This window comes from Homo sapiens, chromosome 6 (genome assembly GCF_000001405.40).
Source record: "Homo sapiens chromosome 6, GRCh38.p14 Primary Assembly".
In the NCBI taxonomy this organism is placed as follows: Eukaryota; Metazoa; Chordata; class Mammalia; order Primates; family Hominidae; genus Homo; species Homo sapiens.
The window spans coordinates 130,093,823-130,108,137 of NC_000006.12; the positions used below are offsets into that span (position 1 = coordinate 130,093,823).

Genomic DNA, 14,315 nt, shown 5'->3' on the forward strand with positions numbered 1-14,315 from the left:
AATGTAGAAAGAAGAGCATGGAGGGATCTGGAACTGTCATTCTGGATTCTTCTATAGTACTTGAAGTGTTCACAGTATGTGAGTATTCATGCTTTAATTATGTTATTTACTTAATAAAAGTTGTTTGACTCTTCTTGTTAATTCGTATTTAGATATCTCTGGACTTTATGACGTTTTGAAAGATTGTTACGTCAAAGTTTATCATTTCATTGTTGAAGAAAGATAACTAGTGTGAATAGTCATAAGGAAAAACCTTTAAACGTAGCGTCTTTTAAAATATTTTTCATTTTTATAGGATCTACTTTTTCTGTTTATGTATGTTGGTTAAAAAATTGGATTTTTAGGGAGTCTTTTTCTTCCTTATTCTGATCCAGACATTTGACTCTTCACAGATTTTTGCTTAATATTTTGCCCCTTCTTTCTTTTCTTTGCTCTTTCATAGGCCCCTTAGAATTAATGGAAGCTTCAGAACATGGTGGATGCTCAACCCCGGGATGTAAAGGGATTGGCCATTTCAAGAGAGCGAGACATCTGGGCCCTCACAGGTATGTGGTAGCTGTCACTCACTTGGTCAGATATAGGTGTTCCATATACATGTATATATAATGAATTTCATATATACTAAATTGATGTGAACTAATTTTAAATTCAGATCCATAAGAAATGTGGTTACCATGGTGATCATGTAAAAATGAAGGGAATATCTATAGTAAAATCTTCCTGGGAGAAAATGCATTCACAGTTTAAAATGGATTTACTCTAGCTTTTTGGCTTTTCTTGGCAACCTGACTAGATTTACAAATAGTTAGTTTCTGCAGTAGTTATTTTGCATTGATCATTAATAATGAGAAGAGGGGAGACTCCGTTGATATCATTTGGTAGAATATTATCTGATTGGGTGACTTGATAATTTGAATAATGAGAGATGAGATGATTGTAGATTAACAGCAAAGATCACAAAATGCACAATATAAATAGTCAAACATGAGAGTGCATTGGTCCAAAATGCATTTTAAAATATTTTTCTCTTACCCCTAAGTAACTTTAAAAAAAAACCAAATTTATGCATTTGAAATGTGATGTATTTGGTGATTTAGGGATCTTTGTAGAGAGTTAAAAATACTACTAAAGTACAGCTACTTGGGAGGCTAAGGTGGGAGGATCACTTGAGGCCAGGAGTTCGAGATCAGCCTGGACAACATAGCAAGATCCTGTCTTTTAAAAAAATATTACTGAAGTACTAAGAAATTCCTGTGATTCAACTGGCATTTTTAAGGAATAAATGTATCACCTATTTAGGTATGTTTTAAAATAATAATTTGTCGGTATAATGTTCTAACTACATAGTAACTGGATTGCCCACTAAGCAAAATGATTCCTTGTTTATCTAGTTTGTACAGGTTGTGAATCTAGGTCTTTAAAAATTTTGAAGATTACTGTACCTGTTCCTCCAAGTATTAATAGGAATTGCAAAATTGTTGTAATTATTTTCATGTGGATATAGTTTTCTCTTTTTTTCATCTCTGCAACCTCAAATCTTCCTTTTTCGAACAACTCTCCTTAATGTTCTATGAGGTTCAGTATGTTCCAGAGTGAGAAGTCTGAGCATAGACAGGATGATGATGATTCCGTTTGCAAATCCTTTTTGTTGCTTGTCTGACTGCAAACCAAAATTTATATGATACATCTTGGAAGTTATTAAATATTGCCTAGTGAAGGCAGCTGGATTTTCAGCCATTATGTAAATCTAGATGCCAGAAATAATTCATGAACGTACTAAATTTCCATTATTGTTTTACTTGTTTTGTGTTGCTATAATAGAATACCACAGACTGGGTAATTTGTAAAGAAAAGAAATTTATTTCTCACTTTCTGGAGGCTGGAAAGTCTGAGATCCAGGGGCCAGCATATGGCGAGGGCTTTCTTGCTGCGGAAGGTAGAGGGCAAGAGAGCATGTGTGAGAGAGCTAGAGAGGGCCAAACCTGCTTTTATAACAACCGCTCCCATGATAACAAACCCACTTCTGCGATAATGTCATTAATCCATCCAGGAGGGCAGAGCCTGATCACCTCTGTATTGTCACAGTGGCAATCAGATTTCAACATGAGTTTTGGAGGGGGTATTCAAACTGCAGCAATATGTTTAGAAACTCAGTAAATATTTTCGAGCAGCATTTTTTCAACAAGAACTAATATTTATTGAACATTTATTTACTCTGTGCAGGATATTGCTCTAATTGCTTTACATATCTTGGATACCCTTTGTAACAGCCCTATGATATAAGAACTGTTTTTTTCCCCACGTTTTGGTGAGGCCACGGGGGGTACTGGGGAGGTTAGTAACTTGCCTTACTTCCCAACTGGGGAGAAGGGAACTCTGCTCTGGACCACTCCCCTCTAATGGCCTCTCAAGACACTACTCCATAAATTAGTCACAGACCCAACCTTCAAAGAATTCACAGGCTGATGGAGCTATAAAAGCTGGACATAATTTAATTAAAACATAAGATACCAAATAATATCAGAACTTTGGCACACATCCCTTTCTGCTGTACAAAGTGTTCATTGGAGCAAAGAGAATTTGTTCAAGTTGTGAAGAAAAAGAACAAAGAAAATTTTAAAATGAGTAAATACTAACAGTATGTTGTTGAGGTGCAATTGGAGGTGAAACAAAACTTTTTTTGGTCTTCTGGAAGGAAGACACACCTTATGGCAGTGTCCATGGTCTCCTTAGGACTGCTTTACGTTTGAGTGGAGAGGTTTGCCTTTCACAGCAAGGCCCGTGGTGACAGTTGTGTCCCCTCCCTGATGGCCCAGCCATTCATCAGGACTGCCTTTCCCCAAGTGTGCAGGTGGACCTCCGAGGGTTCCTCAGCTGGGCCACACCCATTTCACCAAGTTTCAGTGGTTATATTTAGAGCATTTCTTCATAGATGCAGTGTTGTGCTTGTTAAGAGGATTAGTGGAAGACTTTATAGAGGAATGTGGTAAGGAACCCTTTCCAGTGGAATTAGAATCATAATAGAGAATTACTCATTTTCTTGGAAGGAGAGGCAGAAGTACACCTGATGGTTTAAAGGACAAGCATTGATAAAGAACCCGTATTCATTTTCTTATCACATATAGAGAGCATAACTAGCAGATTTTGTGCCTTGGGCAGAGTTGTTGGTTGACTCGAGCCCCTGGACCAAGGGATGCAATTCACAGAACTCCTGGAGGTCCCAGTTTCTGCCCAAGTGCTAACATCCCTTCTCCTCAGTCTTCGAACTGGATTTTCTTAGACTCCCTGACTATGCTGTCCTATTTACAGCACTTAAAGCTCTTTTTCTGGCCGGGTATTAATCCTTAATAGGCACAGCCTGTTTTCCATTTCATTAGTAGACTTGTGGAGGAGCTTACTGTGTCGTGGATATTCTTTGAAAGGTTTATTTCACTGGCTCTTACTTTTGTTCTTACTAAGAATGCTGTGTTTAGGAAAACATAATGAGAAAATTCTCTTTGGATTAATTACTGAGAAACTGCATGTATCAAAACATGCACTCTTTGCATAGATAACAAAGAAAGTTGCTATTTTAGCAAAAATAATCAATTTAATGAACACATAAGCAAGAGACTTTGTTTTGACTAGCGTTTGTTGTTACCTTCTCTGAAGATTACAGTGTTTGAATTTGATCTAAGAAGTGTTAAAACAAAACGTGTCTAAACAATGAAGCTTGATAATTTAACGTTTTTTAAAATGGTGAAATATAAATGATCAGTGAAAGAGTTGGAGATGGGTATGGTTTTCTCATCTGTAGGGGTATTCAGGAGCCAGATTGCTTAATTCCAACTCTCTAGCAAGGGAACATTAATATTGGTTGTGTCACAGTGTTTCCCTTTGTCACTTCATTTATTTGGCCTACCGAGAGAGGGTAAGGAATGGGAAGAGATTAAAGGAAATAAAGTTATATAAAAGTAGACATTTGGCCAGGCGCAGTGGCTCATGTCTGTGATTCCAGCACTTTGGGAGGCCAAGGCAGGCAAATCATCTTAGATCGGGAGTTCTAGACCAGCCTGACCAACGTGAAGAAACCCCATCTCTACCAAAAATACAAAATTAGCCGGATGTGGTGGTGCATGCCTGCAATCCCAGCTACTCCGGAGGCTGAGGCAGGAGAATCACTTGAACCCAGGAGGCAGAGGTTGCAGTGAGCCAAGATTGCGCCACTGCACTTCAGCCTGGGCAACAAGAGCGAAACTCCATCTCAAAAAAAAAAAGTAAACATTCTGCACATCAAGTGCCTTCAGAACTGAATCTTTTCTTTGTAAGATTTGGTCTTGGAGAAATTAAACAAGAAAAGAGAAAGGAATGTTTTCAGAAACACCTAAAGGATATTAATGAAGTCCATGGAATGTTTTCAACATTAGTAACTCTTGGTATGCCCCTGCAAGCTGTAAACATCATATTAATTCACCATGCATCTATCCGTGAACAAACCTTTGTTAAGTGCCTTCTTTATGTCACCTGCTGGGTTAGGTGAGGGACTGTATAGAGGAGAGGGTCCCTCCTTCTAAAGAGGCCAGTCTGGTGTAAACAGATTCTCATAGAGGCAGGAGTGGAGTGGCGCTCAGAGAGAAGCGTCAGCTTTTTATGAGGGAAGCAGAGCATTCATAATGAGGTATGTTACGGAGTTTTTATTGCTGTTTACTTTTTGCTGATGTTCTTTTTACACAATAGGGGTTAAATGTCACTCTTCTTTTTAAATAATAATAATCGGTGGGATTTATTGATGACTTCCTATGTTCCAGGCACTGCTTCAAGGACTTAATGTGTGACCTCATTTGGTCCTCACAGGAGCTCTGTGAATGTTAGGCACTTTTCTAGTTCTTGTTTTATAGATGAGGAGACAGAGAATTGAAATGCTTAAGGAAGCACCTGAGATTGTACATTGGCGGAATCAGAATTCAACCCAGGCTTGTAAGGCACTGAAGTCCCTGCTCTTAACTGCTGGGCATTCATGCAATGCACAGTGGCCTGATAGAGCCTGCCTCGTGTGTTTTTCTTTTTTTTTTTTTTTTTTTTTAACTGTTTTTTGTCAGGACAGAGTGCGAAAATGATTGTGCGAGAACTTAGAAAACTGGAGATGTTGCCTAATTGTTAAAAATATACAATTATTGTATATTGTATATTTTATTGTATAAAAATATACAATAAAAATTACAATTAAAAGGGTTTTTAAGGTGGCATTGGAGAACAGTGAATAAGGCATCCTTCTACCACACCTAATGAGCTGGACCAGCCTTCCCTAGAAAAAAACATTCTTAGAGGAGCCAGTGGGGCAAGTATTTGCATATTTAGCTGATATGTGAAATAATATGCTAATAGTGTAGGATGCACCTCAATAAAGTACTTAGAGTAGAGAACAGTATCATCCTATGGGACTCTGTTCTTCTGCTTGCTGAGGAGTTGCATAATAGTAAAGAGTTGTACATATACATGTGCACGTGTCTAACCATGACAGAACATACACACGTTATGTGGTAAGCCACACCTTATTAAAGTTTTGTCACTAGAAACTTAGTACGTGAGAAATTAGAAGTCTATAAGCCTAGTGAGAACCAACTTTTTCCATAGATGTTTAATTAGCACTGGTGAGTTTTTTAAAGTTCATATGCAGTTTTAGAAGTTAACAATTTTGTATCTGTACATAACAGAACAAATATGGAACAGAAAAAGCAACATTTCTAACATGATGCAGATCACATATGTCACTTGTGTTCTTTGAAGTGACACAGGAGTCGTTCCAACTCCTCAAAAACATAATTGCTTGTGAATTTTACCCTAATTTTTATTCCAAGGGCTGGTTAATGGGAATAGATGAAATAGTGAAATACTTGACCCACGTTCTATAGGTTGGCTTTTGTTTTTAAAGCCATCAGATAAGATTATTTACAAAGCTCTGTGACCTTGAGCCAATACTTAACTTCTTTGTGCCGGTGTCCTCATTTATAAAATAAATTGGTGACAATAGTATCTGCTTAATAAGAATAGTGTGATAAGTAAAGGAGTTAATTTTGGAACAGTGCCTGACACTTCCTAAGCACACAATCCATGTTAGTTCTATGAGTACAGGCAGCAGGCAGTGGCATCTTGCTAGAAGATGGTACTCTCAGATCAAGTTCATTGTCATGGGTTAGGAATAAGGAAATTCTTCAATGTGCAAGGGTACTATTCACCCATATAGTATAGTGGTTAAGAGATAGCCACAGTTCCTAATGTAATTCCATCAGGAACTGATTGAAGACACTAAACAACATCCCTGTCTAAGCCCCAAAGGAACTACTTCTTAGGATTGTGAGAATTAAATAGGTAATGTAAACATTTGGCCTGGGTAATGCACTTAATCCGAGGTCAGTTTTGTTACTACCATCCTCATTTTACAGATGAAACAGAATCTCGGAGCCTGTGCTTGCTCATTATTGAGTGGAGGATGAAGCAGCAGAGCAGGGTCAGAACCAGGCTCCCTGATGTCCGCCTCCATGCATGTCCAGTCACCTGAGCTCCTTTTGCATTTTGTGGCGTTCCATTTTGTCATCACCTCCCACTTCAGGAGCCAGCTGGCTTTCCTCTTTACCCCAGAGTAGGTGTGAAAATGGGAGGTTTGTTGACCCTTTTGACTCTTCTCAGGGTTCAGAGAAAGGAGGTTAACATAAAATCAATAGCTGATAGGCTACCCTTGGTAGATCATTAGTAAATCACTGCTTTGAGGGCTTTGAATGTTTTTCCCTGCTTTAGGTTGAGATTTTATAATTGAAATTACTCTCTGGTCCTAGCAATCTATTTTCAAAAAAAAAAAAAAAGATATTTAAATGGTAAGTGTCATAATGGCTGCAGTCTTACCCCTCTCTTGAGCTATCCAAGTTTACATATGGTGATTTAGAGAGATATTCTTTCATTTATTCAACAAATAGGTGACGATGCTGCCCTCCTAGGGCTTAGAATATAAATTGTCTACACTGTAACTGTAATTAGTGCTAAATTGGGGACCCAGCCCATCTAAGAATCCTGCGAGTCTTCCCATTGTCGAAGGTGGATGAGGTAAAGAAGAGAACCTGTCACTTTCTTCATATACAGTAAAATTTCAATTTTAATATATATACAGTTATTTAATAATTGTAAGGCCAAGCGTATAACAATGAATGAAATGCTGGTCATGATATTCGAGGAATAGCTTGCATACAGTTTATTTAGAGAAACTAAAAAAGTCCTTAAATTGTTATTATTTTTTGCTGCCACGAAGCTTAAGTAGATAAATTTGCAACAAAAACACACAATATAAGGAACAAATAATAGAGTGGAGTCAAAGATGGTGAAGACCTGAGGTTGGGTTAATAAATTTATTTTGTCATAAACAGAGTCAGGAACAGTAGGAGGAACTAGTTGTGTTTATCTTTTGGGAGAGTGAATTTTTAATCATTTTTGGGTGGAGGGGCGTGATTTGTTAAAGGTGATAAAGTTGTTTTTAAACATATTTATTGTGAGGTGACACTGAGACATCTGAGTAGAAATGTTTAGTGAACATTTGTATTTTCCTTGAAGTCAAGGTGATGTTAGGTCTGACACCTCCTACTAGGGAGCCACAAGGGACCGAGGCTTCCCTTTCTCAGGCCTTTGGCAGTTTCATTGTGGGCAGGAATCCCACACCCACCAATCAGATGCTGCCATCCGGGCTTTCCATCTTGAGGAATGAGGTGAAGGCAGGTCAGACCTTGCGATTGCAGCCTCCATGGAACTGAGGACTACACCAGGGCCTGGAAAGGGCAGGGGGACTGAGAGCAGTGGCGTGAGGGCCACATGCCCAGCAGCCTCCTCCTGTGCAGATCGTTTTGAGGGAGTGTGTTGCTTGTACCCTGCTTCCTACCCAACCCTGATTTTTCTGGCCTTCCTGTTGATCTGTCAAATGCCCTTACAGTGAGTGTTTTCTGCTCAAGTTAGGCAGAATTGGTTTTGGTCACCTGCATCCATGAACTCTGAATTAGGATCCCGTGAAACATATAAAGAGACATCATAGTTGGGAATGGATTTTCCTTCACATTATTACTAAATGAATACAATGAAATACTACCGTCTGCCCATGCTCATGGCGATGCGTGAAATAGTGTGTTCATTTTGCTGAGCTACTTCATTGCTATGTGACCTTGGGCAAGTAACATCTCTGCTTGGATGTCTAATAAACAAATTCCACAATTTCTGATATTACCCCCAAATCATCTTCTCCTTAGTCATTCTATCTCAGGGGGAAAAAAAAAAGGCACCTCTGTTACCACCAAGTTCTTCAAGCCAAAAACCAAATGGCCATTCCTGAACTCTTCCTTTCCATTGCTTCCCATCTCCCATCCATCCACAGGTCTTCTTGGGATGACAAAGGATACTGTGACTCTCTTCTTCATTTTTGCCCCATCTCAACCACACAAATCCAAGTTACGTCATACCTTTACTCTTGAACAACTTTTCTTTCTTCAATTTTGTCCCATTGGAATCTTCTCTGCTTTCAAAATCCTCTCTCCAAAAAGAGAAATAACTTTTAAGTAACTTTTCTTGCTCCAGTTCTGTCCCTTGAAATCTTCTCTGTCTTTAAAATCTTCTCTCCAAAAGGCATCCTGAGTAATCCTTAAAATTGTAAATCAAACCTTGTCATTCTCTTATTTGAAGATCTTCCATCAGCTTCAGATGTAATGTTTGCTAAAAATATAAAGTCCTGACTGGCCTGCTAGGCTCTACATGATATTTGCCTGCCTGCTTCTCCCGGTTCATCTCATCCCCATCACACTCTAGCCAACCCTGGTCTCTCTTTCCCTCAAACAAACCAAGCTTTTCCTGTTGGCACTGCTCCTCCCATCCCCTGGAACATTCTTTCCCACATTGTTTCCCTACGGATCTTCTTCCTGACCATTACAGCTCTGCTCGGGTGCTTCTTCTCCAAGGAGGACCTTCCTCACCACTCCGTCATAGCATCCTCACACCCTCTTTTATATCATGGTATTTCTTTTTCATGGTGTTTATCACCATATGAAGTTATCTAATTTATGTGTATAATTGTGTACTGCCGATCTCCCCCTGGAATATCAGCTCCGTGAAACCAGAGAGCTGCTTTCTTGTCTTTTTATTGTCCACTGAGTTTCCAATGCCTGGAAAGGTAATTAGCACATAATAAATGCATGATAAGTGCTTCTTGAATAAATGAACGAAATAAAGACTGAAGTTACTTAACTGTTGTAAGCTTTAATTTGTTGCATGAAATGCTTTTTTCTGGGATGTTGGCAAGATAAAGTAAAATATTGCATGTAAAGCACTTAGCACAGTGCTTGATATATCATAAGTGCTCCATAAATGTCACTGGTTTTTGTTTTTGTTGATGTTAAGCTAACATTATATAAATTTATGTCAGCACATGATCAGATGTTATTTGCTTTCTTCTTTTGGATAGATACCAGTGTAGACTAGCAGTATTTAAAGAAAATAAAGTTAGAATTTTTGCTTATGAGATATCTGTGATATATCTTATAGGCCATTATCAGAATCACCTGGCAACCCTTTTAACTCTTCCCTCCTTTTCCTAGGAGGGTGTATCAGATTCTCTTGGTAGAGGGTAGCTAGACACTGTTTAAAAATTTTCCCTGGGTGATTATCAACATTCTCACTGTCATCTACACTGAAGAAAAGAACATAGAAGATTCTGATGTAATTTACCTAAGGCCCAAACCATTTCCAGATTTAAGAATGCTTCCCAAAAGCAGAGAGGCAAGATAGGCAGTTATTTGGGGAGGCCCATGTATATTGGGGTCTGAGATACAGCAGTTGCCCAGTTGTTTCAGAGACTGGAATGCTGAAGACCTGGGCACAGGAGTATACTAATGGTGAATTAACAGTGAGTGACCTCAATTTCCTTTCAGGAATGATCACCAAATGAGACCTGAGAGACCAACTGGTAGTCACAAATGGAAGGGAAATGAGCTCTGTGCATCATTATCCAAGTTGGCCTCTGGTCCTTTTTCATCTTATGAACAAGATTAGCTACAAATTGATCCATGTATTTTCTAGAACATCAGGCATAGGTCCAGACCTGAACACAGGGAACAGCCCATGAGGAAACCTCCTTCCTTTGGAGGGTAATAACTATTAAAAAAGGAAATTAAATAGCGTGTGACTGCCCTGGTCCTGGAGGATCCCCTTAGGAAGCAGAAGCAAATCTGCTCCATTAACCAATCAATCAGTCTCTCTCCCACCTTTGTCCTGAATGATGTCTTAAGCATTTCTTTCTTGGGGCTGATTGTTTCCAGAGATATGCACAGAGGTAATCCTTCAGTGACTCTTGCTCAGTTCTGAAGATTGCAACAGATTCCTTCTTAAAGTCTAGTGTAAAAACCTATTTCCTATTTGTATATATTTGTTATGTTTTAAAGATAAAATATGCTGTATGTATGATTATAAAATATAACAATATAACATATTCAGTTAAATTTTAGAATTTTATATTCTGTATCCTGTCATTTTAATTGGAAGAAGTATGGCCTAATGGAAATGTTCAATGTTCTTTTTTTTTTCTTTTCTTTTAATCTGTTAGTGCTGCCAACTGTCCCTATTCAGAAATCAATTTGAATAAAGACCGTATTTTTCCAGACCGCTTAAGTGGTGAGATGCCTCCGGCTAGTCCGTCATTTCCAAGAAATAAAAGGACAGATGCAAATGAAAGCTCTTCTTCCCCTGAAATCAGGTAATCAAAGAGCTAATATTAGCATTGTTTAGAAGTACTCTAATTTAAAGAGATTTTTTATCTTTTAGATATTTTATTTCCTATAGCAATGTTTTCTTGGAGATTGTTGAAAATACACCTGACTTAATGTGAAATGATGGTAGAGATCAGTACTTGAACTTAAAAAAAAAAAATTAGAGAATTGATAAAAGCATGTCCAAATCAGGCAGGATTTTTCTCTGACTCATTTTTTTTTTTTAATTTGCTTGGTGTTAGAGGTAGGAATTTGGAAATTCCAGTCATTTTACTGCATACCAGTTAATATTTCTGCATGAATTGATCAATACTTACATAGAGTCAACCTTTATCAGTAAAGTAGTGGACTGGTGAAGAATGGACATTATTTCTTTTAGTGCTCATTATATGCCAAGTACTTGCATATACATTATTTCATTTAATTATTAATATGTTAATTGTTTTATAAGCCCAGTCATTTAGTTTTTACTTGAGTTGGAATGTTTAACCCCAGTGGTTTATTAAGTGAAGAACCAAACTGATACATCTTTAAGCAAGTGATCCATTCCCTGATATTAACTGAGGATGCTATTAAAAGAAAGAACAGATTAGGAAAAAGACATTTCTTAATACTTAGGTTTTGGCTTTCTCTTTTATGAATTACTTTAAAACCTAAGGCTACCTAGTTTATTTTTATATTTTATAATTTCCGTTATTCTGGATGAACCTAGTGGGCATTTAAATCAATGCATTGTCATAGGAGTAATGGCATTTAAACTAAAGGATTGTTTTCTTTATAGAGAAGCAGTTTACCCTTTGGATGGAGTAGGGGACACCTACAACTTCTTCTGGTATTAACAACAGTGATGGTTTTTTAAATCCTTAAAACCACGACTGATAACATAAACTCATTTACCAAATCCCAGCATCCAAAAATGAGGGTCACTTGAAAAAATTTACCAGGATCATTTGAGCCTGGGAGGTCGAGGCTGCAGTGAGCCAGGATCATGACACTGCACTTCAGCCTGGGTGACAGAGTGAGACCCTGTCTCAAAAAAAAAAAAAAAAAATTAACTTTAAAACATATAACGGTTATTAACTCATGTAGACATGATTATAGATACAGGGTTCATTGACTAAAACGGTGGTAAGAATACGCTTTAGATTTCAAAATTGGTTTTAAAAAATTTAAAAATTGTTTATTGTTTAAAAAGTATCAACAGAATACTCAGAAGGGTTGGTAGTGCCTGTTGTAGGTTTTTCAATAATTGTCTGGTTGCTTGGTCCAAATACCTGGAGCCAAAGTCTTCTCACAGAGCAAAGAAGTGGTTAGTTTGGATGATTTTGTGGATTCCTTTTTGGCTGTAAATCCATATAAGAGTAGAGTAATCTTTATAATGAGTCTAACCGTTTCGGTGTTCTGTCTTCTGTTCACGTGTGGTCCTGGGCCTTCCTCATGGTCAGCATTTGTGATCAAGGAAACAATCTCAGACATTTTAAAGTTTTCTATTTATAACCCATTGCACATATTTCATGTCTAAATATTTTTAAAATGATATTTTTGCCTATGCCTATTAATACTTATCATTAGTAATTACTACCTATTAAAACCTAATTATTGATTACCTAATAATTATTACCTATTAATAATTAAATGAAATAATGTCTGTGCAAGTACTTGGCATACCATCTTTTGAGTCAATGAGGTCTGACCTGCCATTACTTTTCCTTGTCTTTTCACTGTTTTTGTAACTTTTCTGCAAAAATGAGTGGGTTTGAAAGTTCCCATCCTCTCTCTGGGGTTTCAATGAAAGCCTTTACTCACTGAGACCTTGAATTGACTCACTTAGGATTGTCACCTCCACTGTCAAAAATAAAATGAAATGTATGTCCTTGCTCTATATCACTGTATATGTGCAAAGCAGTACTTTAGTTTGTCAGTTGAGCCTCCCTTTCTGCCACTTCCCCTTTTTGCGGCCCTGGGAATCAAGCAAGAAATGAAAATGTCCGAAGCAGCCTGTGAGCTAGTGATCTGCTGAAATGGCTCCACTCAGAAGGTGTTAGTGGTAGGAAGTTTGATTACCATTGAGGTATGCAGCAACGCTGGTCTTAGAATTCTTCTCCTAATCATCTCCTCCCCTTCCAAAGCTCCCCATCTTCCATCCTGACTCACATTTTTTCCAAGAGGTCAAAGAGCCCTTCTCCCTTCCTGTTGGTCTCTTATAAACCTTAACTTTGAGTGTAACCCAAGGCTGGAAACATATCTTTAAGAGGTAAAGAAATGCCCTTCCACTCATTTCCCAATGGGTTTCCTCCTTTTCAGGAAAATCCTGAGCATGCCACATTACTAGTAATCTTATGTTTTGAATTGTGTGTATGCATGTGTCTTAATCATGTCAAAGTGTCCCATTTGATTATTGTGAAAATGATCAGAGGTGTCCATGTCTAACCCTTGAGAAGATACTGGCAGAGTAGCAATGACCATCCTCTGGCCTGAGATCAGCCAGGAGTGAGAAGCAGTGGTAGGACCCAATTTGTCCTAGTGTCATGACTTGATACCTCTCCCTAGACACCCTGGAGTCTTTTTCTTAAGGGTTCAGAGGTGAGTGCTCTGTAGAGGTGTTCATAGGTTGAACTGTATCTTCTTGACTCACTCACTTTCTGTACCAGGTTTGGCCAAAACTACAGTTTTAATATGTAGGAAATGTAAAAGAGCTACAACTTAGACTTTCTAACTATTTATTTAGAGTTTTATATTTTTTCTTTCTTCTTCCCACATAACCAGGATGCAGTAAGTCAGTTCCACCTTGGATAAATCAGCAGTATACAAAGAGGTTGAAAAATAAAAAAGGTTATGAGGATCCTGAGCTTTCTGTTTAACTAAAAAGAATTTAATGCCTTAAAACCTAGAGGTAGCAAGTAATCTCATCTTCATTGAAGCTTCTATAATTCCTGTAAAGTGTCTATAAAAGTAAAACTAAATGACAATAAATACTGATATATTAAAAAAACATTTGTTAAGCATTTTCTAGGTGCTATACTTGGTGTCCCATACATTATACAAGCATGGTTCTTGTTTCTTCTGGCAATTTTCCTCAAATGTTATCTTCCTGAGCAAATGCTGTCAGTGATGCCAACCTTTTTTCTGTTTAGTACTGTCTTAGTTATAGTTTAAGGTACATAAACCAGTGAGAGACACTAAAACTTTGGAGGTAGAAAGTTGATGCAACTAAACTCTCTTAGGGGTTTTTTTCCTCCCATGCAACTTTAACACTTGGCTTTTTGCCATTGTTCTGCATGCATGGCCATCTAAGCTCTTAATGTAGCTCTGAAGATTAGTTCTGTCTTTGATGCAGGCCCAAGGAACAAATGAGTGAGTGGTTGAAGCCCAGCACAGCAAGAGCAACACCATGGTGTTTTCTGTTCCTCCAGAAAAGAGCAGCAGAATGTGGTGATTAGGAACATGGGGCACTGCTTGGATTTAAATCTCGGCTTCCCTACTTGCTAGGTTTATGATCTTTGATGAATTACTCAATAGCTCTTCACTTTGAATCTCATAATTTATGAG

At 37.9% G+C, this 14,315-nt stretch overlaps 1 protein-coding gene across 22 annotated transcripts in view; it reads left to right on the top strand.

The window, feature by feature from the left end:
* The window catches only part of L3MBTL3 (L3MBTL histone methyl-lysine binding protein 3), a 122,858-nt gene that overhangs the window by 75,242 nt on the left and 33,301 nt on the right, over positions 1-14,315 (top strand). For all 22 annotated transcript variants that reach the window (XM_047419407.1, XM_011536184.3, XM_047419410.1 and 19 more), the window contains 2 exons: positions 443-545; positions 10,604-10,753. In XM_047419407.1, coding sequence (XP_047275363.1) covers positions 443-545; positions 10,604-10,753 — 253 coding nt within the window. The remainder of the gene's footprint in view (positions 1-442; positions 546-10,603; positions 10,754-14,315) is intronic.